The sequence below is a fragment of the Homo sapiens genome, chromosome 11 (assembly GCF_000001405.40).
Source record: "Homo sapiens chromosome 11, GRCh38.p14 Primary Assembly".
In the NCBI taxonomy this organism is placed as follows: domain Eukaryota; kingdom Metazoa; phylum Chordata; class Mammalia; order Primates; family Hominidae; genus Homo; species Homo sapiens.
In genome coordinates, this window is record NC_000011.10 from 12,619,117 (window position 1) to 12,646,460 (window position 27,344).

Genomic DNA, 27,344 nt, shown 5'->3' on the forward strand with positions numbered 1-27,344 from the left:
CACACAATTGTAGGGGTCTGGGTTTCTGATTAACCACAGGAAGCAAGCTGCCCACTGGCCAGGAACTCCCACACTACACTGCCACATGGATGAAAAATAAAATTCTGTTGAGCCAAGGCACTGAAATTTGGGCATTGTTACAGCATCTAGTGTTTTTTCTTATATCCATGGCAACCAAGACCACTGTAATTGGTCTATGTCTGGAATCAGGAGGCCTGGTTCTAGCCCAAGCACAGTCTCCAGCTTAAGGAATGACCTTAAGCAAGCACTTCTTCCCTCAGGGCAACATTTAAAAAAATAAGAAGATTGGATTGATCAACATTTTACTGCCTGTATTTCACAGGACATTCTCCTTTTAATATATTTGCTTGAACCTTCTTGAAAACAGGACTCCATGGACAAATAAGGTAGGCAAATTCTGAATAATACATCTTGCTTTGGAGACTCATAATGCACATTTGCGACATCCTTCCCTGAGGACTTTAACACAGTATTCACCAGATGGATTTGACCATAGGACCTCTTAAATTTTTTGATTGGGAAATATTTATTAATACTTAGAGAGATATGAGTGTCCTAAGAAATGTAGTTTGGGGAATGATTAATTAGATGAATTCAAAAAGTATTCCCAGTACTAAAACTGCTCTGCTATGATTTCCTACCTTTCCACATTTCCCAAATGCAGCTCTAATCAGATTACCTCTTTATTGCTACACATGTGCAGCATTTATGTCCACTTAGGGCTGGGAACCTCTCACCTTGCTTTCTGAATCTGGAAAAACATTTCCTCTCTTTTGCACCATTCCTAGTCTTGCCTATACTTAAAGGCCCAACTCAACTCTCTCTGGTCTAAGAAGATGTCTCAGCATGATCTAGCACACACCTTACATCTCTCTCACTCAAAACACATTAAAATCCCTGGACTCTCCACATGCGTTCATTAATTAAATTCATTCATTTATGAGACGGACTCTCACTGCCGTCCAGGCTGAAGTGCAGTGGCGCAATCTCTGCTCACTGCAACCTCTGCCTCCGGGGTTCCAGCGGTTCCCCTGCCTCACCCTCCCAAGTAGCTGGGACTACAGGCATGCACCACCATGCCTGGCTAATTTTTGTATTTTTAGTAGAGATGGGATTTCAACATGTTGGCCAGGCTGGTCTCGAACTCCTAGGCTCAGGTGATCCACCCACCTCAGCCTCCCAAAGTGCTTGGATGACAGGCATGAGTCACTATGCCCAGCCCATGCATTTTAGGATTAGATCCCAGAGAAAAGTCTCTTGACAAACAGCATCTGTAAGACAAGGGTTAAGTAGAAGGTGAGGTTCTTGAACCATTTTGATATGCATTGCTGAAACTGAGACAAAATCTGTCTGGAAACAGTCATAAACAAGAAATATATGCGTAAACCCTGGAAGAAATGGGAGGACAAGTTGTGTGATCCTTACCCAGAAAAATCTATGAAGCTCAAACAAGGAGTGATACGCAGTTTCAACTGGAAGTTCAGAAGCTAGTCTACAAACAAAAGGGGGTTATGTTGGGATTTCCTTATAAGTAGTTGCTACAAGATGGGTTTTTCTGTTTAAACCAGAATGAACATGCATTGACTGTGTGGGATTGGCTGTGTACTCATTGTGCCTCTTCTACATTATAAGGGTATCCAGTCCCCTTAGATCTGGGTTTTAAAAATCTATCTCTGATTTGGTGTGGAAGGTGGATGGGAATTGAAGATGGGAGTTAAAGACCAATTCAGAACAAGTTTCAGTTTTCTCCAGGTGGAAAAGGCAATGAGATTTTGACTAAGGCATGGAGGTGAAAGAATAGAGAGGTATTAGGCTTATTGCATGTATAAAGGGATGGAGAAGGAGAGAGGGAAGAAAGAAGAAAGGAAATGAAAGAGGAAGAAGGAAAGGAGAAGGAAGAAAAGAGGAAAGAAGAGGCTGAAGATGACTCCCAGTCTGCTGGCTACAAAACTGGGTGAATCCGAGGTCAGGAGATCGAGACCATCCTGGCTAACACGGTGAAACCCCGTCCCTACTAAAAATACAAAAAATTAGCCGGGCGTGGTAGCGGGCGCCTGTAGTCCCAGCTACTCGGGAGGCTGAGGCAGGAGAATGGCGTGAACCCGGGAGGCGGAGCTTGCAGTGAGCCGAGATCGCGCCACTGCACTCCAGCCTGGGCGACAGAGCGAGACTCCGTCTCAAAAAAAAAAAAAAAAAAACTGGGTGAATCCTAGGATTTTTAGAAGACTCCTCCTATTTCCCCATACTCCGTTTGCAGAGTTGCCTGAGTAGGCAGCAGGAAAGGAGAGACTTTCCTCCCCCATATTATCCTGTTATGTTGGTCTCAAATTATCCCTTCAGCAGAGTAAATATTTCATGCCCATTCTTCATTGTTCTAGGATTGGGTTTGGTAATCAGGAGTACATAAGGCAAAGGAGACCTTTCAAAAGGCTTGAAGTGGCATAGCCAGGATAGTCATAAACCAAATTGTTAATGACATGAAGCTGACTTTGGTTTCTCATCCAGATCCAGTTCCAGACAGGCAGCTCTCCTTATCTGCCCCATTCCCCACCTTACCCTACCACAAACCTGTCCATCAAGGAGTTAAGTCATTGTGAAAGAGGCCGTGTTGAGGGTTTAGGAAAGTAATAGAAAAGGAACATAGGAATCAGACCAACTTCACAGACCTTGCAGTCAGAGTGATCTGGATCTGAATTTCAGCTGTTGGACACAAAAGCCTATGGTTCAAGAGAAAGGATCAAGCTGAAAATAGAGATGCTGAGTCCCTTAGGTCCTAGGGAGAAAAGGAATTTAAGGAGATGTCTCAGGGAAAGTGAAGAAAGAGTGAACTGTTTCTGCATCTGTTTGCTTTGAACCCACCATGTTCAAAGCAGGCATTATGAGGGCCTTGCCTGTCTGTGGACACATTCACTAGAGGAAGAATTTTCACAAACAATGAAACAACAATTTCACAAACAATTTTAACAAACCTCTAGGTTGTTTCACTCCCATTCTGTCATTTTTATGCACTTGACTATCTATTCAGACCGAGGAACAAAAAAAAAGAAGAAAAAGAGCCTCAGAGACCTATGGGACACAATCAAGTGTATCAATATATTCATGAGAGTCCCAGAAAGAGAGGAAAGAAAGGGGAAAAATAATATTTGAAGAAACTATGGGCAAAAACTTCCCAAATTTGATTTTAAAAAACGTGAATCTACACCTCCAAGAAGCTCAACAAATTCCAATAGGGTAAACTCAAAGAGTTTCATACGTAGAAACATCATAATCAAACTGTCGAAAGACAAACAGAGAATCTTAAAAACAGCGAGAGAGAAGCAATACAGCACAAGTGGTCTTCATTAAGATTAACTTATTTCTCATCAGGAACTATGGAATCTGGGAGGCAGTGGATGGCATATTCAAAGACCTGAAAGACTCAAAAGCTCTGTATCTAGCAAAACTGTCCTTTAAAAATGAAAGAGAAATTAGGTCATTCCAATATAAACAAAAACAGAGAATGGAGTTCTTCCTGCCTAAATGAAAGGACCCTAGACAATAACTTGAGTCCACATAAAGAAATATAAGTCTCTGGTAAAAACTAAATATAAAAGACAATGTAAATATATCTTTTATTTATAACTGTTTTCTACTATATTATTTAAGAGACAACTACATAAAGCAATAATTATGAATCTGTATACCAGTCATGTATCAGACCATGCAATGTATAATGAGGTAATTTATATGAAAATAACAGCACAAATAAGAGGGTAGATACTAGAGCTATATAAGAGGAAAGTTTTATATATTGTTGTAATCAACTTTGTATTAATGCAAATTAGATTGTTATAAGATGTTAATTGTGGCTGGGCTCTGTGGCTCATGCCTGTAATCCCAGCACTTTGGGAGGCCGAGGCAGGCAGATCATGAGGTCAGGAGATCGAGACCATCCTGGCTAACATGGTGAAACCCCAACTCTACTAAAAATACAAAAAAATTAGCCGGGCATGGTGGTGTGTGCCTGTAGTCCCAGCTACTCAGGAGGCTGAGGCAGGAGAACAGCATGAGCCCAGGAGGTGGAGCTTGCAGTGAGTTGAGATTGTGCCATTGCACTCCAACCTGGGGGACAGAGTGAGACTCCGTCTCAAAAAAAAAAAAAAAAAAAAAAAGATGTTAATTGTAACACCCAGGGTAACCACTAAAAAAAAAAAAGTAAAATGGTCAACTAAAATGGCCCACTAAGTAATATCCATTTTACACAAAAGAAGGCAGTAATGGGGGAATGAATGAAGAAACAAAGAAGACATAATACATATAGAAAACAAGTAACAAATGGCAGATGTAAATCTTACCAGTTATTATATTAAATACAAACTGATTAAACACTCTAATTAAAAGACAAAGACTAGAATTATGATGGGAGGGTGCATGATTCAAATGTATGTTGTCTACAAAAGGTACATTTTAGAATCAAAGTCACAAATAGGTTTAAAGGATGGAAATATGTGTACCATGAAAACAGTAAACAAAAGAGCTGGAGTGGTTGCAGTATAGACAAAAGAGACTAAGTTAAAAATTGTTACTGGAGAAAAAAAGGACATTTTATAATGATAAAAGGGTCACTCCATCAAAACAATTATAAGCATATATGTACTTAACAACAGAGCCCAGAAATGCATGCAGCAGAACTTGACACATTTGAAGGTATTCATAGGCAATTCATCAGTAACAGAAGGAAACACTTCCTAACTCATTATTTGGAGCCAGAATTACCCTGATACCAAAGCCAGACAACTCACAAGAAAACTACAGAAAGCTATATCCCTTATGAATATATATACAAATATCTTCAACAAGATACTAGCAAACCAAATCCAGCAGCATATAAAAAGGATCATACACCATGACAAAGTGTGATTAATCCCAGGAATGCAAGGTTGGTTCAGCTCATGAAAAAAAATCAATGTACTAAATCACATTAATAGATTAAAGGACAAATCCACATTACTTTGCCAATAGATGCAGAGAAAGCGTTGACAAAATCTAACAACCTTTCATAAGAACACTGAAGAAGGCAGGAATAGAAGGGAATTTCTTTGATCTGATAAAGAGCATTTAAGAAAAACCCACAACTATCATCATACTTAATGGTGAAAGCTGATAGCTTTGCCCCTAAGGTCAGGAAAAAGACCAGAATGTCTATCTCATCCCTTCTATCTAATCAGCATTGTAGTGGAGAATCTAGTCAAGGCACTAGGCAAGAAAAAGAAATAAAAAATCATCAGATTTAAAAGAAAGAAGTAGAACTACTTCTATTCATAGATAGCATACTTAGGAATAAATTTTAAAAAAGAAGTCTTGTACACTGAAAAGTACAAAACATTGTTAAGGAAAATAAAAGAAGGAAATAAATGAAAGAAATCTCATGTTCATGGATAAAAAGATATAATATTGTTAACATGCTAACACTACTCAAAATGATTTATAGATTCAACACAAGCTTTATCAAAATCCCAGCAGTATTTTAATTAGCAAACACCCTAAAATTCTTATGAAAATATAAATAATCTTGAAAATAGCCAAACAGATATTGAAAAAGTAGAACAAAGGAGGACTCACACTTCCTGATTTCAAAACTTACCACAAAGCTACAATAATCAAAATGGTGTGGTACTAACATAAGAATAGACAAATAGATTAATGAAATAGAATTGAGAATCCAGATAAATCCATATATGTGGCCAATTAATTACTGACAAGGGTGCTAAGACCGTTTGATGTAGAATGAACAGTCTCTTCAATTTATGATGCTGGGACAACTAGGCATCGAAATGCGAACGAATTAAGTTGGCTCCTTTCCTCAAACCATATATAAAAATTAACTCAAAATAGATGAAAGACTAAATGTAAAATGCTAAGACTATAAAACGCTTGAAGAAAACATGGGTTAAATCTTCATAATCTTGGATTTGGAAAAAGATTATTAGATAATGACACCAAAATCTTAAGTAACAAAAGTAGATAAATTGGACTTTATCAAAATTTAAAATTTTTGTGTATCAGAAGATACTATCAAGAAAATGAGAAGACAACCCAAAGAATGGGAGAAAATATCACAAGTCATATATCTAATAAGCATTTAGTATCTAGACTATACAAAGAATTCTTACATCTCAATAACAAAAAGACAAGTAATCCAATTTAAAAATGAACAGAAGATATTTCTCTAAATACACATTCAACATAATTTGTCAAATTATGGCAAATAAAAATCTCAATAAGCTACCACTTCACATCCACTAGGATGGCTATGATGAAAAAAACAAATAACAAGTGCTGACAAGGATGTAGGGAAATTGGGACCCCCATATATTTGCTTCTGACGTCAAAAAATGTTGTAGTCACTTTGGAAAACATTTTGGCAGTTCCTCAAAAAGTTAACCACATAATTACCATATGACTCAGCAATTCTACCAAGTATATATATCTAACTTCTTTCACTTAATGTATATACAAACATTAAAAGCATAAGTCCACATGAAGTATATACACAAATGTTCATAGCAGCTTTACTCATCATAGCCAAAACGTGAGAACAACCAAAACTTCTATCGGGTGATAAATGGAGAAACAAAATGTGATATTCATATAATGGAACGTTACTGATCCATAAAATGGAATAAAAGTCTGATTCATGCTACAATGGGTCAACTTTGAAACATTATGCTAAGTGAAAGAAGCTAGACACAAAAGGTCACATATTTTATGATTCTATTTATATGAAATGTCCAGACAAGGCAAACTCATAGAAACATAAAGCAGATTAGTGGTTGCCAGGGGCTGAGGGGTGGGGGAATGGGGAATGACTGTTCATGAGTATGAAGATTCTCTCTGGGGTGATGAAAACACTATGGAATTAGATAGTCATACAGTGGTAATGGTTACACTTCTTTATAAATATACTAAAAACCACTAAATTGTATACTTTAAAAGTGAATTTTGTGGTTTGTGAATTTCAATTTGAAAAACAATAAAAACATGGAAGACATTCCCACCCATCAGACGGAATCCCAGCAACATATCCCTAAGTTATTAGGGATAGTCCTTTAGGGCATCATTTCTTCATTTGTCAATTAGACATATACCATCTGAAATGGTTTGGATCTCTGTCACCACCCAAATCTCATGTCAAATTGTAATCTCCAGTGTTGGAGGTGGGGCCTGGTGGGAGGTGACTGCGTCTTGAGGGGGTCTCATAAATGGTTTAGCATTATCCTCCCTTGGTGCTGTATAGTGAGTGGGTTCCTACAATATACGATTTTTTAAAAGTGTGTGGCACCTCCCCACTCTCTTCCTTGGTCCTGCTTCTGTCATGCAAGACGCCTGCTCTCACTTTGCCTTCAGCCATGAAAGCTCCCTGAGGCCTCCCCAGAAGCAGATGCTGCCATGCTTCCTGTACGCCCCATGGAACCATAAGCCAATTAAACCTCTTTTCTTTATAAATTACCCAGTCTCAGGTATTTCTTTACAGCAGTGCGAGAACGTACTAATACACCATCATTCCCACAAACTTGTGATGAAATCAGTATACGTGAAGTTCTGAGCCCCATATCCTCCATACTGTTAGTATTCCTAGTTGAATCTGAACCTACTTCTTGTTTATAGTATTGCCCTATCTAATCCAGCCTTACTCAGGCCACCAGATGTTTTTCTGGTTCTTTAGTGTGGTGTGGTTTTTTTTACGTGCTCTCTCTCTCTCTGAAAGTCCTGGGGAGGGAGACAAGGTAACATTCATTCAGGACCTGCTACCTGTCAGACTGTGGTCTAAAATACCATATTAATTTAGGCCTCCAGACAATGCCATAGACTAGGTTTTTTTTTTGGCGGGGGGGGGGGGGGGGGGCGGGGGAGTCTCGCTCTGTTGCCCAGGCTGGAGTACAGTGGTGGGATCTCAGCTCACTGCAACATCTGCCTCCTGCCTCCTAGCTGCAAGCAATTCTCCTGCCTCAGCCTCCTGAGTAGCTGGGACTACAGGCACATGCCACCATGCCTAGCTAATTTTTTTGTATTTTTAGTAGAGACGGTGTTTCACCATGTTGGCCAGGCTGGTCTCGAACTCCTGGCCTCAAGTGATCTGCCCACCTCAGCCTCCCAAAGTGCTGGAATTACAGGCATGAGCCACCATGGCTGGCTTTATTTCTATTTTTTTTATTTATGTTTTATTTTTTAATTTTATTTTTATTTATTTTTTTTGAGATGGAGTCTTGCTCTGTCGCCCAGGCTGGAGTGCAGTGGCACGATCTCAGCTCACTGCAACCTCCGCCTCCCGGGTTCATGCCATTCTCTTGCCTCAGCCTCCTGAGCAGCTGGGACTACAGGCGCCCGCCACCACGCCCAGCTAATTTTTTGTATTTTTAGTAGAGACGGGGTTTCACTGTGTTAGCCAGGATGGTCTCGATCTCCTGACCTCGTGATCCACCCACCTCGGCCTCCCAAAGTCCTGGGATTACAGGCGTGAGCCACCGCGCCCGGCCGTTTATTTCTATTTTAAAGGAAAGGAAACAGAAACCTCAGTTTTAAAAATACCCTCCAAGTCATGCCTTTGAAGGTAGGGACATTGGACTTTGAAGGGCCCGAGTTCAAATCTGACTCTCAACAAATCCTGTGGGATCTCCAATAAGTGCCCTACGCTTCTGAACATCAGTTCTTCATCAATGAGATGGGACAATAGGAGACTAAATGGAATTATGGAGTGGTTTTGAAGATTAAATGAGATAGAGAACATACACTTAGCACAGATTATAAAATACATATGAGGCTCAATAAATGTTAGCTAGTATTAGTCTTATGAGGAACTAACCAGTGGCTAAATTGAAATTAAAGGCTAGATCCATGGCCTACCAAAGCCTTCTCTTCCACTTCTCCATGTTGCCTCTTTCTTCTCTATACTTGTCTGAGCTACTCACCCTATCAACTGAAATGTAAGTCAGCAAGGAGAGGGACTGAGGCAAATTATCGATAAACATACCTATCCAGTTTCCCTGAACACTTGCCAATCCCAGCCTTTTCTTCATTGATGCTACCCATGCTCACACGTGCGCGCGCGCGCGCGCGCACACACACACACACACACACACACACACAGTGTTCTTGCCACTTCTGAGTAACTGGCACTCATACCCTCATGGAAAAAACGGATGCAGCTTGATCCGGAGTTTCACTGAAATATCCCCCCAATCTCACTTCATTGGCTTTTCACAAAAACTCCAAGACACATCCTAAAAGCTTGCAAAAACCTCTTTACCCTCTCTGGGTCTTCTTGGAAACTATTTGGCTTTTGCCTTTCCCAGCTACATCTGGTCTCAATGGAATGTGCTTATCGATCTTGGGAATGAGGCCAAACAACCTGGTACCCTGATGGCTAAAAAGGCTCATACAGTTTGTGACATGCCATCAGCAAGTGGGTTAACACAGGATTTCAATTTCTTATCTTCTGCTAACTTCCAGCAGACTCCGTAAGCACCCACCCTTCCAGACAAATTCTCTTCTCCTGTCTCAATCCTTCTTTTTGGATCTCTATTAGTATTAATTGAGCATCAACTCTCACTATAATTATGAACTTTTGATATAACTTATAGGAATCACTAATTCAGTTGGGCTTCCTGGTACAACTTGACAATAGGATTTCCCATTCTCTGGGGAGACATCATGGTAGCTATGGGCTTTGGTTTCGGGCAGGCCTGGCTTTGTATCCAGCTTTATTCTGAAAGAACTTAAACGAGATTCTTCACGTATCTGAACCTCTTTTCTCATTTGTATCTACTAAATGTATCTACTAAAAATCACCTAACCAGGTTGTTAGTGGGAAATAAATAATAGGCACCATAGTAACTATTAGCATTGTCATCATTGTTGTTGCTCTTAGAATGCCACAAACAACCAGATACGAACCCAGTTCAAATCATGCCATGCCCTCTTTGAAATTGTTACTTGTTAAAAAATTAACTATGGGATGTATAAACTTCAAGAGTATACACATTCTTTATACCCAAACACAATTTCTAAGACTTAGAAGAAATAACCAAAGATGTAGGGCAAAGATTTAGCTACAAGACTGATTATCACATTGTTTACAATATTGAAAAACTGGAAACAAACTGGACATGAAAAATGAGTTCTTCTACAGATAGTGGAACTCCCAATTCAGTGGATGACTTGCAGCCCTTTTAAATGTGATAAACAAATGTTCATGACAGGGAAAGGTGTTTACAATGTGTATGGTTGAATATACAGTCAAAGTGTTAAAAGATACTTACAAAATGGCATCTAGAACATGGTCCTGATTTTATTTGAAGGAGAGTGTTGCAGAGGACAACATTTGAGTGCATACAGAAAAAATCAAAAGGATAATCATTAAAATATTAAAAGTAGGTTAGCCTTATTGCAATTTTTCTGTTCTATATTTTCTAAATTTTTTATAATGAAAATATTGAGAAAAAGTAAACTTCTTGGTAAATTTTATTAATGAAAAACATACATAAAGTCAATAATTCTAGAACAGCTTCATGGATTTTGATAAAGTGAACACACATGAGTGATTAGTACCCAGATGTTGAAACAGAACCCATACCAGCATTCCACAAGCCACCCTTTTGCCCAGTTCCAGTCACTACTCACAGCCTAAAGATAACCACCATCCCAGTTTCTAACAGCCTAGACGAGTTTTGTTTATTTTTAAGCATTTCACAAATGAATCACCTCATATGCTCTGTGCCTATCTTTCTTCATTCGCCATTGTCTGTGAGAGTTATCAATGTTATTGCATGTAATCGTAGTTCATTCATCCTCATTGCTATCTTCTAGTGTATGAAGAGTTATTTATCCATTCTCCTATAAATGTACATTTGTGTCATTATTTGTTTTTGACATTATGAATAGGGCTGCTAGCTATATTCGTGTCCTGTTTTTTGTTGAACATATGTACATGTGGAATTGCTGACTATAGGAAATGTACATGTACAGGTTAGTGATACCGTCAGTTTTCCGAAATAGTTATTCCCATACACACTTCCAGTGTCAGTGTGAGAATTCTGGTTGCTCAATTCCAATTACTTGTCAACATTTGGTATTGTCTTGCATTTTCACTTTAGCCATTTCTCATGGCATCACATTGAGGTCTTAATTTACATTTCCCAAGTAACTAGCAGAATTTAACACTTTTAAAAATGTGTATTGGCCATGTGGGTATTCTTTTTTTGAAGTGCCTGTTTACGTCCTTTGTCCATTTTTCTATTAAGTTATCTGCATTGGAAGAATTCCTATATTCTGTACACAAGTCATATTAGGTGCGTATATCAGAAATCTTTTTTTCCCATTGTGTAAACTTGATTTTTCAATCTCTTAATGGTATCTTTTGATGAAAGAGGGTCTTAATGATAATGTCCTGTAGTTCAGTAGGACTCTCGTTGTGTCCCCTGGCAAGAGTGAGCCCCTGATGATATCCCATACCATGCCATCTAAACACAGGAAAGGCAAACTTGTGCTCAGAAGAGGTCTCTCTCCTTGTGAGGACAAACTGCTGGTCTTTTCAAGATGGAACAGGACCAGTAGCACTACTATCCCATTCGCAATGCTACGTTTGCTATTCCGGGTCCTTGAGAAATATGCCAAGATGTAACTAAATGTGCAAAGATTTTAAGAAAATGGGGAAAGAGTTGCAAAAATCTGGAAGAGGCATCAGACTACAAGTCTAGGAGATCCCAAGTATTGGGGTGACAGAAGAAAGGTTGAATAAAAACATCCTAGACTGCCATGCAGCCTAGGGAAGATTCTGCAAGGCCATCAGGAAGTCCTTGAGCCAAAGTCAGTTGTCAAAGTTGTCCCATGTCTCTCAGCAACAGATCTGCCTTGGTGTCTTTACTAGGCTTAATTATTGCTGGGAACAGCCTGTGGAAAGCATGGTCGCAGGGCAAACACAGTGATAGATTTTGGGGCACAGAAGATGAGTCCTTGGTTAATGACACTCCCCGTGGCTGGAGTTCTGCTAACACACTCTCAGAGGCAACACGCCAAGATAGGGAATCATGGGAGGAGGAGACAGTAGTGGCAAACAGGGAAGGTTATTGATGTGTTGACTTTGGGCATATATTGAGTTTGATACATCTTTTCCTCCTAGATATTCCATGTCCAGCCAAATATACAGGTCTAGAATTCAACAAGGGGATCTGGGTTGCTCAGACAGAACATTAGGAGTGACTTCTAGAAGGGCCTTATGAGAAAAGGGAGTCTCAGGTATCTCCATAAAGGAACATCCAGGGGCTCCAGGCATTTCAGTGACTCCCTGCTCTTTCTGCCCAAATAGTTTAGTTGAGGCGATAGAGAGCAAAGAGGGAAGAGAGAGAAAGAGGCCCTTTGTGGTAGACCATGGGGCCATTCTCAGACTTGAGGACTCTCATTACTAAAATACTTCCCCAAACATGGCAGCCTAAGGCTGTTGACACATTTCAACTATATTTGTCTCTTGGATTTTCCTACCTTGAACCTGAACATAGCCAAAAGTAATTTGTAACAGCAAGAATTTTGGAGGGAAGCCAGCGTGCAATTATACAAAAGTGAGCTTGCATGCACACTTATACACATACACACACACAGTGCAAAGGATGTGAGCAGCCAGATGCGATAAATCACAGAATCTACACTCCACAACCTGAGAAAGAGCATGTGGGCCCATGAGTCAGGATTAAACACCATAGCGACAAAGTCACTGAAGCCTGCCTAGTGAGGCAGCAATTTCTGCCCTTAATAGAGCCCTTAGATCTCAATAATTGCTTCAAAATCCGCACACAGCAGCACACAGTTTTTCATAACTGGAGAAGCCAAAAATCCAAGTGTGAAGTGAGAACTGACAGCATCTCTTATGCACATCTGAGATGCAAGGAAGGTCTATGGTTCTGCCTGCTTTCCAGTATCTGCCTCATTTCCAGCAGCCAGAACAGTTTCCCAAATGTCTGCAGTCTGGAACCTGCTCTGTGCTTGAACTTCCCCCTTGGCCTCCATCTTCCTGGCTGCTCCCAACTTCCCATTCTACTTTTTGTCCTTACCTGAAACTGTCTTTTCAGTACTGTCCAGTATTTCTGCCCACCTCCAGGAGTCTCATGGCAGACTAGGCTAGGTTTGTAGACAAGGGCAAGGTATTAAAATTAAATCTGAACTAAGATTAAAATTCAGTACTAAATTAAGTACTGAATTAAAATTCACAGATGCTGCTGACCCATATTAACCAACTAGAAAAAGGTGTCCCTTCTCAAAACACCTTTCTGAAAATCATAATATACTAATTTTGTTAAAACAATTTATAACCATCATCTGGAAATGTTATAATAAATATACAAATTAATGTTTATTTCATGAAGGATGTCCTACTAGATGTAGCAGTATACAACCTAGACAACAGTCCATGGTAGCTGTCTCGGCAGTATACGGCAGCCATCTCAGCTCAGCATCCAGGAATTGTCTTTCCTCTGCCCTTTGTTTTTCCACTATTGAATTTAACAGACTATATTTATATGAGTGCTTTTTGTGTGTGTGTGTGGAACCAAGGGGCCAGGGTCCTCTGGCAGGAATTTCACAGATGTAGGCACTCACGGTCAAGCAAAGTCCTGGGGAGAAAAAGAGGCAAAGACTTCCTGCATGGGAGATACTCACGTGGTGGCCTTGGAGAGTAAAAGAGCTTAGAGTCAGGAAGTGTTCCAAGCAATCTAGAACACTGTCTCCCAAATGGCTGCAGCCTGAACCCGCTCTGTGCTTGGATTTCTCCGTTGGCCTCTGTCTTTCTGGCTGCTCCCAACTTCGCACTCTACTTCTGCTCCATCCTAGGGTGCCTCTGCAGCAGCAAATGTGGCTGTTCAACAATCTGAAGTCTTTGATTGTGAACAGTGCTAACCAGCCCTGGGAAAGAAAAGCAGCTCTCTTCCCTGCTCTCCAGGGCTAGCAGATGAACACTGTGGGGTCGAGCCCAGTCTGGCCAGAGCAAGTCCAGGAAAAGGTGCTTCTCACTCTTCAGGGCACTGCTCAGATCCCCAAGCATAATTTTGGAAACTCTGATCCAGAACCCTGGATCGCAGGTTTTAAATCTTTTTTCTTTTGCATTTACAAGTAATACAAAATCATTATGGAAAAATACTAAAAAGAATGAAGAAGAAAATAAGTTTCCCTTCATCTCATTAACCAGAAATAAGTTGTCTGTTTTTTGTTCTGATTACAGAAATAAAATAGTCATTGTAGAAAATCTAGAAGATAAAGTTAAGGGAAACACTTTATCTATCATTGATTGTCACTTTTGGTATGATCTTTTCAGTCTTTTCCTATGTACATTTTTGTTTTGTTTTGAGACAGGGTCTGGCTCTATTGCCCAGGTTGGAGTGCAGCGGTGTGATCTTGGCTCACTGCAACCTCTACCTCCGGGGCTCAAGCAATCCTCCTATCTCAGCCTTCCAAGTAGCTGGGACTATAGGCACATGCCATCGTGCTGGGCTAACTTTTGTATTTTTTGGTGGAGATGGGGTTTGCCTTGTTGCCTGGGCTAGTCTCGCTCTCCTGAGCTCAAGCAATCCTCCCACCTTGGCCTCCCAAAGTGCTGAGATTACAGATGTGAGCGACTGTGCCCGGCCTATGTACAATGTTTTTAAAACAAATTAAATTATATCACAAATATGGTTTGCTATGGTATTTTTAAATTATTTGTATAGTATGAGCATTTCCAATCATTTTAAAATGTATTTCTACTTCTTTACTTTTAAAATCATTTAATTTTTTATTAATTAATGAATAGGTAATATGTCTATATGGTACAAAATTTGAAAAATATGAAAGAACATAAAGTGAATAATTTTTCCCTTTATTCCTGCTCCCCAAATGGGCCACCAGTGTTAACAGGGTTTTATATGTCCTTCCTAATAGAGTTTATCAATTTATACACACCCACCCACATTCCATTTAATATATTTAGGATATAGTTCCACAGAACTACATGAGTGGAATGAACAATCTCATTGTTTTGAACAGCTGTATAGTATGTTACATTGAAAGCTGTCCCATACTATTCACCCAATGCCCTGTTGGTAGGCATTTAGGGCATTTCCAGCTTTTGCATTAAAGCAATATTGTAATAACTTTCCTTGTATATATTTATATATATCATTAGACACAAATGCAAATCTTGCAGTATAAATTCCTAAAAGTTAAATTCCTGGGTCAAAGGGTTTGCACATTTTAAATTTCAATAGATATTGCCAAATATCTTCCCACTTCCAGAGTATGTGGGACTCCAAGATAGCCCAGATAATCTTCATCTGGTTCATATCCCCAAGTGCTCTCCTCCCACATTAAATCAGAGCTTGTCTATGTGATGCATAGAGTGTTGTGGAGATGATAGTGTGTGACTTGTGGGGCTAAATTATAAAAGGTCTTGCAGCCAAAATCTGTTCCCTTACTCAGGAGAGAGCCACCATGTCATGACAACACATGTCATGAGAAAGCCCTGAGGAGATGTCCCTGTGGGGAGAAACTGAGACCTGCCACCAACAACTAGAATCGCCTTGCCAGCCATGTGAGTGAGGTATTTTGGAAGGGAACTGTGCATATCCAGTCGAGCTTTCAGCTGAGGGCAATCTCATGAAATACCCCAAGCTAGAAAGACCCCACTAAGATGCTCCAAAATAACTTACACACAGAAACTAGGAGACATGACAAATGTTTATTATTGTCGTAAGCCACTAAGTTTAAGAGTTTGTTATATTACAATAGGTAACTAATACAGTATATGAGAGTTCCAGTTCTCTCTCTCCCTCAATAACACAAATTATCAACCATTTTACTCTTTCACTAGTGATAATTGTATCTCATGTTGCTTTAATTTTTCATCTCTCTTATTTGGAGTGAGGTGGAGCACTTTTTCACATATTTAAGAAAATTAGCTGGGCGCGGTGGCTAACACCTGTAATCTCAGCACTTCGGGAGGCTGAGGCAAGCAGATCATGAGATCAGGAGTTCAAGACCAGCCTGACCAACATGGTGAAACCCCGTCTCTACTAAAAATACAAAATTTAGCCAGGCATAGTGGCATGCGCCTATAATCCCAGCTACTCAGGAGGCTGAGCCAGGAGAATCACTTGAACCCTGGAGGCAGAGGTTGCAGTGAGCCGAGATCATGCCACTGCACTCCAGCCTGGGTGAAAGAACAAGACTCCATCTCAAAAAAAAAAAAAAAAAAAAAGGAAATTAGTATTTTCTGTAAACTGTGTATATATTTTCTCTAAGTGTCATTTTTTTCACGGAGGCCTAATATTTCACCAAATAAGTTTAATGTGACTAATTTAACTATTCTCTTATTATCAGACACTGAAGTAAATTTCCACATTTTGATATGAGCAATACTGGCATAAACGTCACAATTCTTTCTCTATATATCTGATTATTTCCTGAAAGGGGATTACTATAAACAGAATTATTGGGCAAAAGTGCATTATAAAACAGAATATGTGTAATCAGAGCTGTCTTGAAATCTGTCTAATTTCTCAAGGCTCTTTGTACTTGAGACTCAAGTACAAAGACAAAGACTAGTCTCAAGACTAGTAAATGTCTTTTGTTTGTTTTTTGTTTTGTTTTGAGATAGAGTTTCACTCTTGTTGCCCAGACGGGAGTGCAGTGGCGTCATCTTGGCTCACTGCAGCCTCCGCCTCCCGGGTTCAAGCGATTCTCCTGCCTCTGCCTCCCAAGTGGCTGGGACTACAGGCGCCCGCCACTAATGCCCGGCTAATTTTTTGTATTTTTACTACAGACAGGGTTTCACCATGTTGGCCAGAATGGTATCAAACTCCTGAGCTCAGGTAATCTGCCCACCTTAGCCTCCCAAAGTGCTGGGATTACAAGTGTGAGCCACCATGCGCAGCCACAAATGTCTTTTACAAAAAAACTTTCATTAACATATATTCCTACTTGTAGTATCTATCTCACCCCAACCCTTCACCAAAGTGAGTATTATCATTAAAAAAAAAATGTTGTGCTGAGTGTGGTAGCTTACACCTGCAATCCCAGCACTTTGGGAGGCCAAGATGGGAAGAATACTTTGAGGCCAGGAATTCAAGACCAGGCTGGGCAACAAAGCAAGATCCCATCTTTACAAACTAAAACAAATTAGCCAGTCACGGTGGCGTGTACTTGTAGTGCCAGCTACTAGGGAGGCTGAGGAGGGAGCATCACTTGAGCCCAGGAGGTTGAGGCTTCAGTGAGCCATGACAGTGCCACGGTACTCCAGCCTGACCAACCAAGCAAGACCCTGTTGCCAAAAAAAAAAAAAAAAAAAAGTTGCTAAAAGACAAAAATGGCCTTATACTAGCAACATTGCTTTGGAGGAGCATTCTCATCAAGAATTGAGAGATTCTTCTCAATCCCAACTTTCCTACCTGAAGTTGGAATTGCACCAAGACATGATTATTCAGTAGAGACTCCTTAGGGCCTCCAGCATCATCACAGATTCCCACTGTCACCTGCCTGTTTCCTGAAATGAACCTAGCTTAGACAATAACTTAAGAAAAGGCAGCTGCTAAGCTTGTGAGAACCACAGAAGCTGGGATCCAATGCTCAAAGTTTTGGCCACATGGATGCCAAATTTCTGGGATATCTCTGATTATGCATATTCTGGTCATAATCCCAAAAGCACACGCATGCTTGTCAGAGCTGGTGTCCCCAGACAGGGTGTGGAAAATGTGGGTGCGAATCTCATTACACATGCATTTCCTTGGCTCACATTCCCCAGGCAGACTGTGAGGTACAATCAGGATGGGCCTATGAATGGGCAAGAGCCCAGGGCCTTGACTGGGAGGGGTGAAAGGCTCCTAAAGTAAGATCTCAGGACCCCAGGCCTGCGAACTTCCCCTTCCAGGAGGTTTGGAATTCTCCAGGCCTCAAAAGCCTCTTTGATAAAACCTCAAACCGAGAGAGTTCATGTGATATTATTTAAGCTTCAGGCCTCCTTTCTGCCCAGTCCCAGTCTCGTGCTGCTCAGCAGTCAGGATCCTGCCCTCTTCTCTGACATTCCCTCCCAGTCCTGCCCTGGACATTCTCACAGGCTCCCCATGGACCTGGTCTTGCCCACCCTGCTTCCAGCCCTGTGACAGCCTCCAGCCTCCCTGCCTGCCTTTCCTACTCAGAGCTGTGGATCACAGGCCTTCCCTGGGACCTTGGGGAATTAAAAGAAGAAGGAAAAGAGCCTGCTTCCTACACCGCTAGTTAATTCGAACACTTGGGGCCAAGGCACACCACAGCCCCTTAGCAAAGGCTTTTTCTCAAGACAATGGCTATGAGGCAGCCCCCTCCAAATCCACACATAGAGTGACCACATTGTCTAAACCAACCCAATCAAAATGTCTAACAAAATAGGGGTATCTCTGATTGTACTATTTTAGAAAATTCTCATAAAGGTAAGGAATTATTTAACAGGCTGCTTTTATGTGGGGGAAGATCACTTACAAATAAGATATAAGGAAAATACCCCAAAATATTAATCTTTCTTTCCTGAAACTTCCTGACTTTCACCTAATAAGCAAAGTCATCCATGTTGCCTTAAGAAGTGAAGGCCTTGGCCGGGCACGGTGGCTCACGCCTGCAATCCCAGAACTCTGGGAAGCCGAGGTGGGTGGATCACGAGGTCAAGAGTTCAAGACCAGCCTGGCCAAGATGATGAAACCCCGTCTCTACTAAAAATACAAAAAATTAGTCGGGGGCAGTGACAGGTGCCTGTAATCTCAGCTACTCAGGAGGCTGAGGCAGGAGAATCACCTGAACCCAGGGGGCGGATGTTGCAGTGAGCTGAGGATCTGAGATCGTGCCACTGTACTCCAGCCTGGGTGACAGAGTGAGACTCTGTCTTAAAAAAAAAAAAAAAAAAGTGAGGGCCTTGAGGGGGTGAGTTCAGAGACCATTAGATATTAAGCCACACAAGTGATGGTGCCAAGAGGTGGTTCCACTGAAACGATTCCCCCCACACCCCCATTAAATGCCATTAGTTACCCCCTGCAGTCTCTCCACATCAACATACAACTTAAGTTACAATTAAACTAATTCCCAAATTCCCAGCCCCTGATTTCCAGTAAGATTGTTCCCTCTATAGAAATCCATTCCTACCACAGGCCCCTACCCACCCCAAAGCCTCAGAGCAGGATTATACTGTTTAACGATTCCATATCCCACAGGGCAAACATGGTGCCCAGTAGGCATGCTATGTTTGTCGGACTGAACAAAGTTTTGTGCATTGGTCTTGCTTCTGCCTAGTCCTGCCTCATGAACCTTTTGAATCTTTCAAAAAACTGTCTTTCAAATATTTGAAGAAACCATCAAGTTTTATCTGAATATTCTCCAGTACGAAATTTCCAACCCCTTCAACTGTACTGTGTGTGGCATTCATTCACTCATTCATTTAGTAATTTCATGCTCTGGGCTAATTACTGTGACAATGTGATTCAAATAACTGAGGTTCGATGTGAACCATGGGTGACAGAAAACTAGACTCACAATAGTGGAGTTGGTTTTTACATTTCATTAAATGGACAATTTAAAATGTAAATAGAACAGGAAGGTCAAGTAAAAGTCAGAAAGCCCCCCAGAATTACCCTTCTCTGATGTCTGAGTGTTGTGTAGGTAGTTTTGAAATTCAGAGTAGTTACATCCCACTTTATATGATCCAATCTGCTTGGAACACAGACCTTGTTTCCCATAGTCAGAAACAATGGTACATATAGAGGTGAATCCTCCCTATACCCTGAAAATCCAGCAAAGAGAGAAATCCATACTGAAGCTAACATGCTGTACATTTGCCACTGAATATTGTGAGGTATTCTGTGGCCACAGTTGCGACGATTAAACAAAACAGGAAAGCAACACAAGTTAATAAGGAAATTTTTACTTATTTTGCTGGTCCTTGAGGATAAGCAGATATTGTTCATTTATTCATTCATTCAAAAACCACATATTGGGTTTATTTAGAAAAGAAGGAAAAACTAGTTGACTATATCTGCAGGGCTTCTAAAAGGGACTTGTGGACATCTCAAGGTACTCAGAGAGTAATGCAATTAAATTACATGTGATTTCTCTTCTGAATGCCCTGTTCTCTCTTCCTCAATACAGGTCTAACACCAGCAATATTTACACACCGAAGGCACGAGTATGGCCATTTGGGGGGCTGTGATATTGTTATTGAGGAGTTTTCCAGAGATAACTAGACAAGAGCTAGAAAACAATGGAAGGAACTTTAGAAGCTCACAGGTATGTAACTGAACTAAAACAATTAACTGTGTACTGGAAAAGAAAAGAGGAATTTATTAAGTATCTACTTGTGCCAATAAACAAGACAGATATTATTTTCATAATTCTACATGAGACAAAAGAAAGGAGGTGATAGGGAGGAGATCTGAGTCAGCATATTCTGTGTTGGCCTTCACAAGTTCCTGTCATCTAGGATGTCTCATTTGATTTCAGAGAAAGATCTAGGTAAGGGAGGGAAGAGTGACCTTCCCCATTGGCATCAGAGGTACCAGAAGCAACACCTACCACTGCCTCTGTGAGTTAAGGATGCCTGATCTGGGCAGCCAAACTATATATACCTCCAAATGTAGATCCAAAAGAATCTATACACCTTGACCAAAACGTAATTTTTTAGAATAATTGCATAAATTCTCAAGAGAAGAAAAATAAAAAATAACTACTAACAACCATTGTGTTCTTCCCCACTTCATACCGCAGGATAATCCGGCATTGTTCACCCTGTGTAAAGGCTCTATGGTGGATCCATCAGGCTATCAGTCAGGTCTTTGTTGAGCTCCTTGGAAATGCACAATAGAAAACTATCCCTCAGGGAGCTTACAATCAAATAGGGAAGTAGATGTTATTAAATAAGAAACAAGGCAGGGCACAGTGGCTCATGCCTGTAATCCCAACACTTTGAGAGGCCGAGGCAGAAGGATCACTTGAGCCCAGGAATTCAAGACCAGCCTAATCAACATAGGGAGTGTGTACAAATGATTTAAAAATTAGTTGGGCACCATGGCTTGCACCTGTGGTTTCAGCTACTAGGGAGGCTGAGGTAGAAGGATCGCTTGAGCTTGAGAGGTCAAGGCTGCAGTGAGCTGTCATCTTGCTCACTCTCTTGCCCAGGTCTCAGAGCAAGATCCTGTCTCCAAAATAATAATAATAATAAACAACTTGAAATAATTAAATTATTACAGGTGTGGAAAGGGAAGATCTCAGTTTCAATGGAGCATTGGATCTATACAAGTCAAGAGGCAAAAAGTGGGCTTTGCTGAAGACTGATGCTAAAGCTGAATTCTGGACAATGAGTAGCAATGAGCCATGTAAAGAAAAGGAAGTGAGTAGGTCCTGAGGCAAAACAGAGTTTGCCACGTTTGAGGAACTGTGAGAGAACTGTTGTTCCCAGTGGGAGAACACTAAGAATGAAATTGGCTCAAAATGAGGCTGGAGATGTAGGCTTAGATTACATAGGTTGGCCAGCATAGGAATTTTAGATTTCATTTTAAAAATCAATGGGGAATCATTAAATTGCTTTAAGTTAGAGAGGAGGAATAGCTGCAGAGCAAATTTCCATTTTTTAAAGATTATTTTATGGGTAAGACTTCCAGAATAGCCACCACCATCCCCCCATCACCACATAACCCCCCCCACCACCTCCCCCCACCATACTCCCACATTCCCCCCATATCCCCCACCACAACATCCCCACCACCACCACATACCCACCACATCCCCCCCATCACCACATCCCCCCCACCACCACATCCCCCCCCACCACATCCCCCCCACCACATCCCCCCCACCACATCCCCCCCACCACCACATCCCCCCCACCACCTCCACATCCCCCCCACCACCTCCACATCACCCCCACCACCTCCACATCCCCCCCACCACCTCCACATCCCCCCCACCACCTCCACATCCCCCCCAGCACCACCACATCCCCCCCACCACCTCCACATCATCCCCACCACCACATCCCCCCCAGCACCACCACCACATCCCCCACCACCACCACCACATCCCCCCCACCACCTCCACATCCCCCCCACACCACATCCCCCCCCCACCACCATATCCCTGATACCACCACCATCTCTGGATCATGGAAGCTGTATTCTAGGCAGACACATCCGAGATGACCAGGGTACTCTTTCTCCACCCAGCCCTCAGTCATAGGATAGAAACTACCTCAGGCATGGCAAGCTGCAAACACTGGCAGTCCAATAGCTCTCTGCCCACATTCCATGTGCTCTTAGGAGAGTTTCCATGCCAGGAAGGTCAAGCCAAGTAGACAAGGGATTACCATCCACCCACCCCAACCCTATTCATAGAGCAAGGGTGTCACATCGATAAGTAGGTCTCCACCCCCAACTCCAGTGCATAGCACAGGGTCTCTGCCCAGAGGAGAGGCAGGCCATGAGATGAAGAGCTCTGCGGCTCTGCCTGAGGGGACCAGCTGTTTGGAACACAGAGTGGAGAATTCCAGGCCTAAGAATGCTGTGCATCATGGACAACATGGGGAAAACCCAGCTCTAAAAATAAATAAATAAATAAATACAAAAATTAGCCTGTGTGGTGGTGCATGCCTGTAATCCCAGCTACTCAGGAGGCTGAGGTGGGAAGATCACCTGAGTGTGGGGAGGTCGTGGCTGCAGTGAGCAGTGATCATGCTACTGCACACTGCACTCCAGCCAGGGCAACAGAGCAAGCCCCTGTGTAAAAAAGAAAAACAAAAAACAACAACGCTGTGGAAAACCATAAAGATCAGGTGGAGAATAATTAAGAGGAGGCTGGTAGCTCCGTTATACAAGCAAAACAGCAGAACAGAAGTTTAATAGAACCAGGGAAAGACAGCTAAAAAGAGGCCTGGTAGGATCACAGTCAACTCTAGGGGTCAAAAGGGTTGTGTGCAAGCACGAGGCTGCCCCCACACAGGAGCAATTGGAGCAGACGTGGGGGCGGACTTGAAAGCATTCCCCAAGCCTCACAGACTCATCAACACAAGGTGAAGCTTTACTGGAACAAGGAACTTAAACAGAACATCTGACAAAACACTAAGTGAACAATAAGCCACTCTGCCCCAAGAGGCAACTCCTATGAAGCCAAGCTTAAAAATAAAATCACACTCAGCCCTGGCAGTCTAGAAGACTGTGTGCACACACAAGGCCGCTTCCTCTCAGGAGCAGTCAGAGAGGAAACTTCCAAGTTACTAGTCCCCGGCTGAATCTGGAACAAAAATGTAAACTTCCTGCCCTATGATAGCTGACTGCACACCACACATACATCCAACAGTAAAAGGTAAAAATTTCACTGGTGACTTCCAGTTTCCAGTCTAGCACGTAAGAAGCTTGGAAGTCACCATTTCATTGTAACAATTAAAAAGCTAAGCACACAGAAAAACCTACTCTTCTTAGATCAGAGAAAGAAGTGAGATTAAGGTGCAAACCTCTGCCCCCCAAAAATTGGAAAGACTGACCGGTGAGTACAGAGAATCACAACTTACCACAGCAGAAACCACATGCGGAAACTTCCTCAGAACCAATGCTGGGGTACAGAAATCTGAACTGTAGCTGATAAATTGCTGGAGATAAAAACTCCATGGGGTCCCAGTCATCAGGGACCCTACACTTTAGTGGGTTTTAACTGCTAGAATCCACAGGGTCTCACAGTGATTTTGGGGAAAAATCTCCTCGTGCTGCTAGCAGAAGAGAGGAGAAAAGGGAACCATTTTGAAGTACACCAGTGCATTTTATTCTTCTTAACAAGGTCTGCCCTCAGGAGAAAGTAATTAACTGGAGCCAAACCAGCTGGAGTTTTATCAGCACCTAACATGGAGGAAGGGAAATACCCAAATCTATTACAGCTGGTTGTAGCCTTCCACGTGAAGGAAGAAAAATACCTAACTCTAGCCCCTTCTAGATTTCCATGTGAGAGAAGGGAAATGCTTAACTCCAGCCCACTCTTGTTATTCTGCTCCGCCTGGGCTGGGAGGTGCCGAGAAGCACATGTGAAGTTCACAGTCCAGAGGCACAGGATCACTAAAACACTGAAAACTACCTATGGGCCTGTAGAACACTTCTCCACCCCACAATACCTTACCACCACATTACTGAAGGCCTGTTTAGGGCGGTTCCTTTTACCTAGAACATCATCTCCAGCCATCATGAAGAAATTATGAGGCATACTCTAAAACAAAGAACACAGTTCGAAGAAACAAAGCAAGCATCAGAGCCAGACTCAAATACGGCAAGAATATTGGAATTATCAGACCAGGAATTTAAAACAAATATCATTAATATGCTAAGGGCTCTAATGGATAAAGTTGGCAGAACACAGTAACAGATGGTCAATATAAGTAGAGAGGTGGAAATTCAAAGAAAAAAATGCTAGAGATCAAAAACAACAAGAGAAATGAAGACTGCTTTGGTGGGGTTATTAGTAGACTGGACACAGCTGAGGAAAGAGTCACTGCGCTTAAGGATATCTCAGTTGAAACCTCCAAAGTCGAAAATCAAATAGGAAAAAAAGACTAGAAAAAAACAGAACAGAATATCTAAAAACTGTGAGACAATTACAAAAGGTGTAAATATACATAATGAGAACACTAGAAGGAGAAGAAAAAAGGAACAAAAAATTATTTTTAAAAGGATAATTATTTTAAATATTTGAAAAAATAATGACTAAGAATTTCTGCAAATTAATGTCAGACACCAAACCACAGATACAGGAAACTCAGAGAACATCAAGCATCATAAATGCCAAAAACCTACACCTAGGTATATCATATTTAAACTACAGAAAATCAAAGATAAAGAAAAAGACCCTGAAACAAGTAGAGAAAATGGCCGGGTGTGGTGGCTCATTCCTGTGCTCCCAGCACTTTGGGAGGCTGAGGCCGGTGGATCACTTGAGGCCAGGAGTTCAAGACCAGCCTGGCCAACATGGAGAAACCCCATCTCTACAAAAAATACAAAAATAATTAGCTAGCCATGGTGGCATGCACCTGTAATCCCAGCTACTTGGGAGGCTGAGACAGGAGAATCGCTTGAACCTGGGAGACAGAGGTTTCAACGAGCCGAGATCATGCCACTGCACTTTAGCCTGGGCAACGGAGAAACTCGGTTTCCAAAAAAAAAAAAAGTAGAGAAAATGAACACCTTATCTACATAGAAGCAAAGATAAGAATTACATCCAACTTATCCTCAGAAAGCATGCAAGCAAAAAGAGAACAGAGTGAAATACTTCAAGCGTTGAAAGTAAAAAACCACCAACCTAGAATGCTGTACCCTGAAAAATTATCTTTCAAAAATGAAGGAGAAATACAGGCTTGCAGACCAAAAAAAAAAAAAATTTGAAGGAATTCGTTACCAGTACACCTGAGTTTCAAAAAATATTACAAGAGTTTCTTTAGAGAGAAGGGAAATGATATAGGTGAGAAGCTTGAATCTATATAAACAAGGAACAGAAGAGAAGGCATACGTGAAGATAAAATAAAAACTATTATTTTTCTAATTCTTAATTGATCTAACAGACAAGTTTATTTAAAATAATAATACCAACAATGTATTTAATTATATATATTTTTTCACTAATATGCTTATGTATAAGTGAATGACAGCAGTGATACAAGGTACAGGAGGGAGGAATTGGGATGATTTTGTTATAAGGTACTCACATTACCCATGAAGTGGTATAGTGTTGTTTGAAAGCGAACATGGAATAGTTGTGAACATAAATTACAAACACTAGAAAAGAAGCAGAGGGGCAAGAAAATAAGAAGAAGTAAAATTGATACTCTAAGAAAGGAGAGAAAATGAAATTATAGATAATGCTCTCTTAAAACCACAAGAGGAAGAAAAAAAGACAAAAATAGGAACATAGAACAAGGGCAACAATGGAAAACCGTTTTTTAAATGATAGATATTGGCCGGGCGCAGTGGCTCACACCTTTAATCCTAGCACTTTGGGAGGCCAAGGCAGGTGGATCACCTGAGGTCAGAAGTTCAAGACCAGCCTGAGCAACATGGTGAAACCCCATCTCTAAGAAAAATACAAAAATTAGTTGGGCAGGGGGCGGGCACCTGTAATCCCAGCTACTCTGAAGGCTAAGGCAGGAGAATCACTTGAACCTGGGAGGCAGAGTTTGCAGTGAGCCGAGATTGTGCCATTGCACTCCAGCCTGGGCAACACAGTGAAACTCCATCTCAAAAAAAAAAAAAAAAAAAAAAATTTGATCAGAAATCAATGAAATTGAAATTGGAAATCAATAGAGAAGATTGATAAAATCAAAAGCTGTTTCTTTGAAAAGATCAACAAAACCAATGTCTCTAGCCATGCAAGCTAATTTAAAAAAAAAAAGAGAGAGAGAAAATACAAATTGCTAATATCAGAAACAGAAGAGGGAACATCACTATAAACATTAAAAGAATAATTTTTAAAATACTATAAACAACTCTATGCTAATAAATTTGATAACCTAGATGAAATAGACCAATTCCTTGAAATACAATCTTCCAAACTCACACAAGAGTAAATTGACAATCTCAATAGGCCTATATCTATTAAAGAAATTGAATCAATAGCTTTCCAAAACAGAAAGGACCAGGCCCAGATGGGTTCACTGGTTAATTCTACCAAACATTTAAGGAAGAAATCCTTCCAACTCTCTACAATCTCATTCAGAAGATAGAAGCAGAGGGAATATTCCCTAGCTCATTCTATGAGGCCAGCATTACTCAATTCCAAAAACAGATGAAGACATTACTAAAATTAAAAAACTCATAGATCAATGCTTCTCATGACTACAGAAGCAAAAATTTTCTACAAAATATTAGCAAATTACATCAAAAAATTTATAAAAAGAATTATGCCTCAAGACCTAGTGGGATTTATTAAAGGTATTTAAAACATATTCAGTATTCAAAAATCAATTAATATAATCCATCATATCATTAGGTTAAAGAAGAAAAATCATATGATTATATCAAGAGATGCAGAAAAACCACTTGACAAAATCCAACACCCATTCATAATAAATACTCTCAGTTAACTAGGAATAGAGGGTGCTACAGTTTGGATGTTTGTTCCCTTCAAATCTTATGTTCAAATTTGGCCCCCAGTGTGGTGGTGTTGACAGGTAGAGCCTAACAGGAGGTGGATGGGTCATGGGGGTGGGCCCGTAATGAATAGATTAATGCCCTCCTTTGTTGGGGAAGGAGTGGAGTTAGTGAGTGAGTTCTTGCACTATTAGTTGC

At 41.0% G+C, this 27,344-nt stretch overlaps 1 long non-coding RNA gene across 3 annotated transcripts, besides 2 other annotated features; it reads left to right on the forward strand.

Annotated features, from left to right (window-relative positions):
- Positions 1 to 185: 185 nt before the first annotated feature.
- On the forward strand, positions 186 to 22,610 carry LOC105376556 (uncharacterized). 3 transcript variants are annotated; one of them, XR_931039.2, is made up of 5 exons: positions 207 to 407; positions 15,499 to 15,610; positions 20,185 to 20,322; positions 21,282 to 21,421; positions 22,468 to 22,610. It is a non-coding gene; the product is annotated as an uncharacterized LOC105376556 (long non-coding RNA). The 3 variants fall into 3 exon arrangements; XR_931038.3 differs by lacking the exon at positions 22,468 to 22,610 and having other exon boundaries at positions 197 to 407; positions 21,282 to 21,725; XR_931040.1 differs by lacking the exons at positions 15,499 to 15,610; positions 22,468 to 22,610 and having other exon boundaries at positions 186 to 407; positions 21,282 to 21,725.
- Positions 17,524 to 18,025: an enhancer, noted in NCBI's record as "H3K27ac hESC enhancer chr11:12658187-12658688 (GRCh37/hg19 assembly coordinates)". NCBI's record gives its function as "activates a minimal SCP1, AML or CMV promoter by ChIP-STARR-seq in primed H9 embryonic stem cells {active_cell/tissue: H9 hESC(primed)}" and the evidence as "EXISTENCE:reporter gene assay evidence [ECO:0000049][PMID:30033119]".
- Positions 18,026 to 18,525: an enhancer, noted in NCBI's record as "H3K27ac hESC enhancer chr11:12658689-12659188 (GRCh37/hg19 assembly coordinates)". NCBI's record gives its function as "activates a minimal SCP1, AML or CMV promoter by ChIP-STARR-seq in primed H9 embryonic stem cells {active_cell/tissue: H9 hESC(primed)}" and the evidence as "EXISTENCE:reporter gene assay evidence [ECO:0000049][PMID:30033119]".
- Positions 22,611 to 27,344: the final 4,734 nt, after the last annotated feature.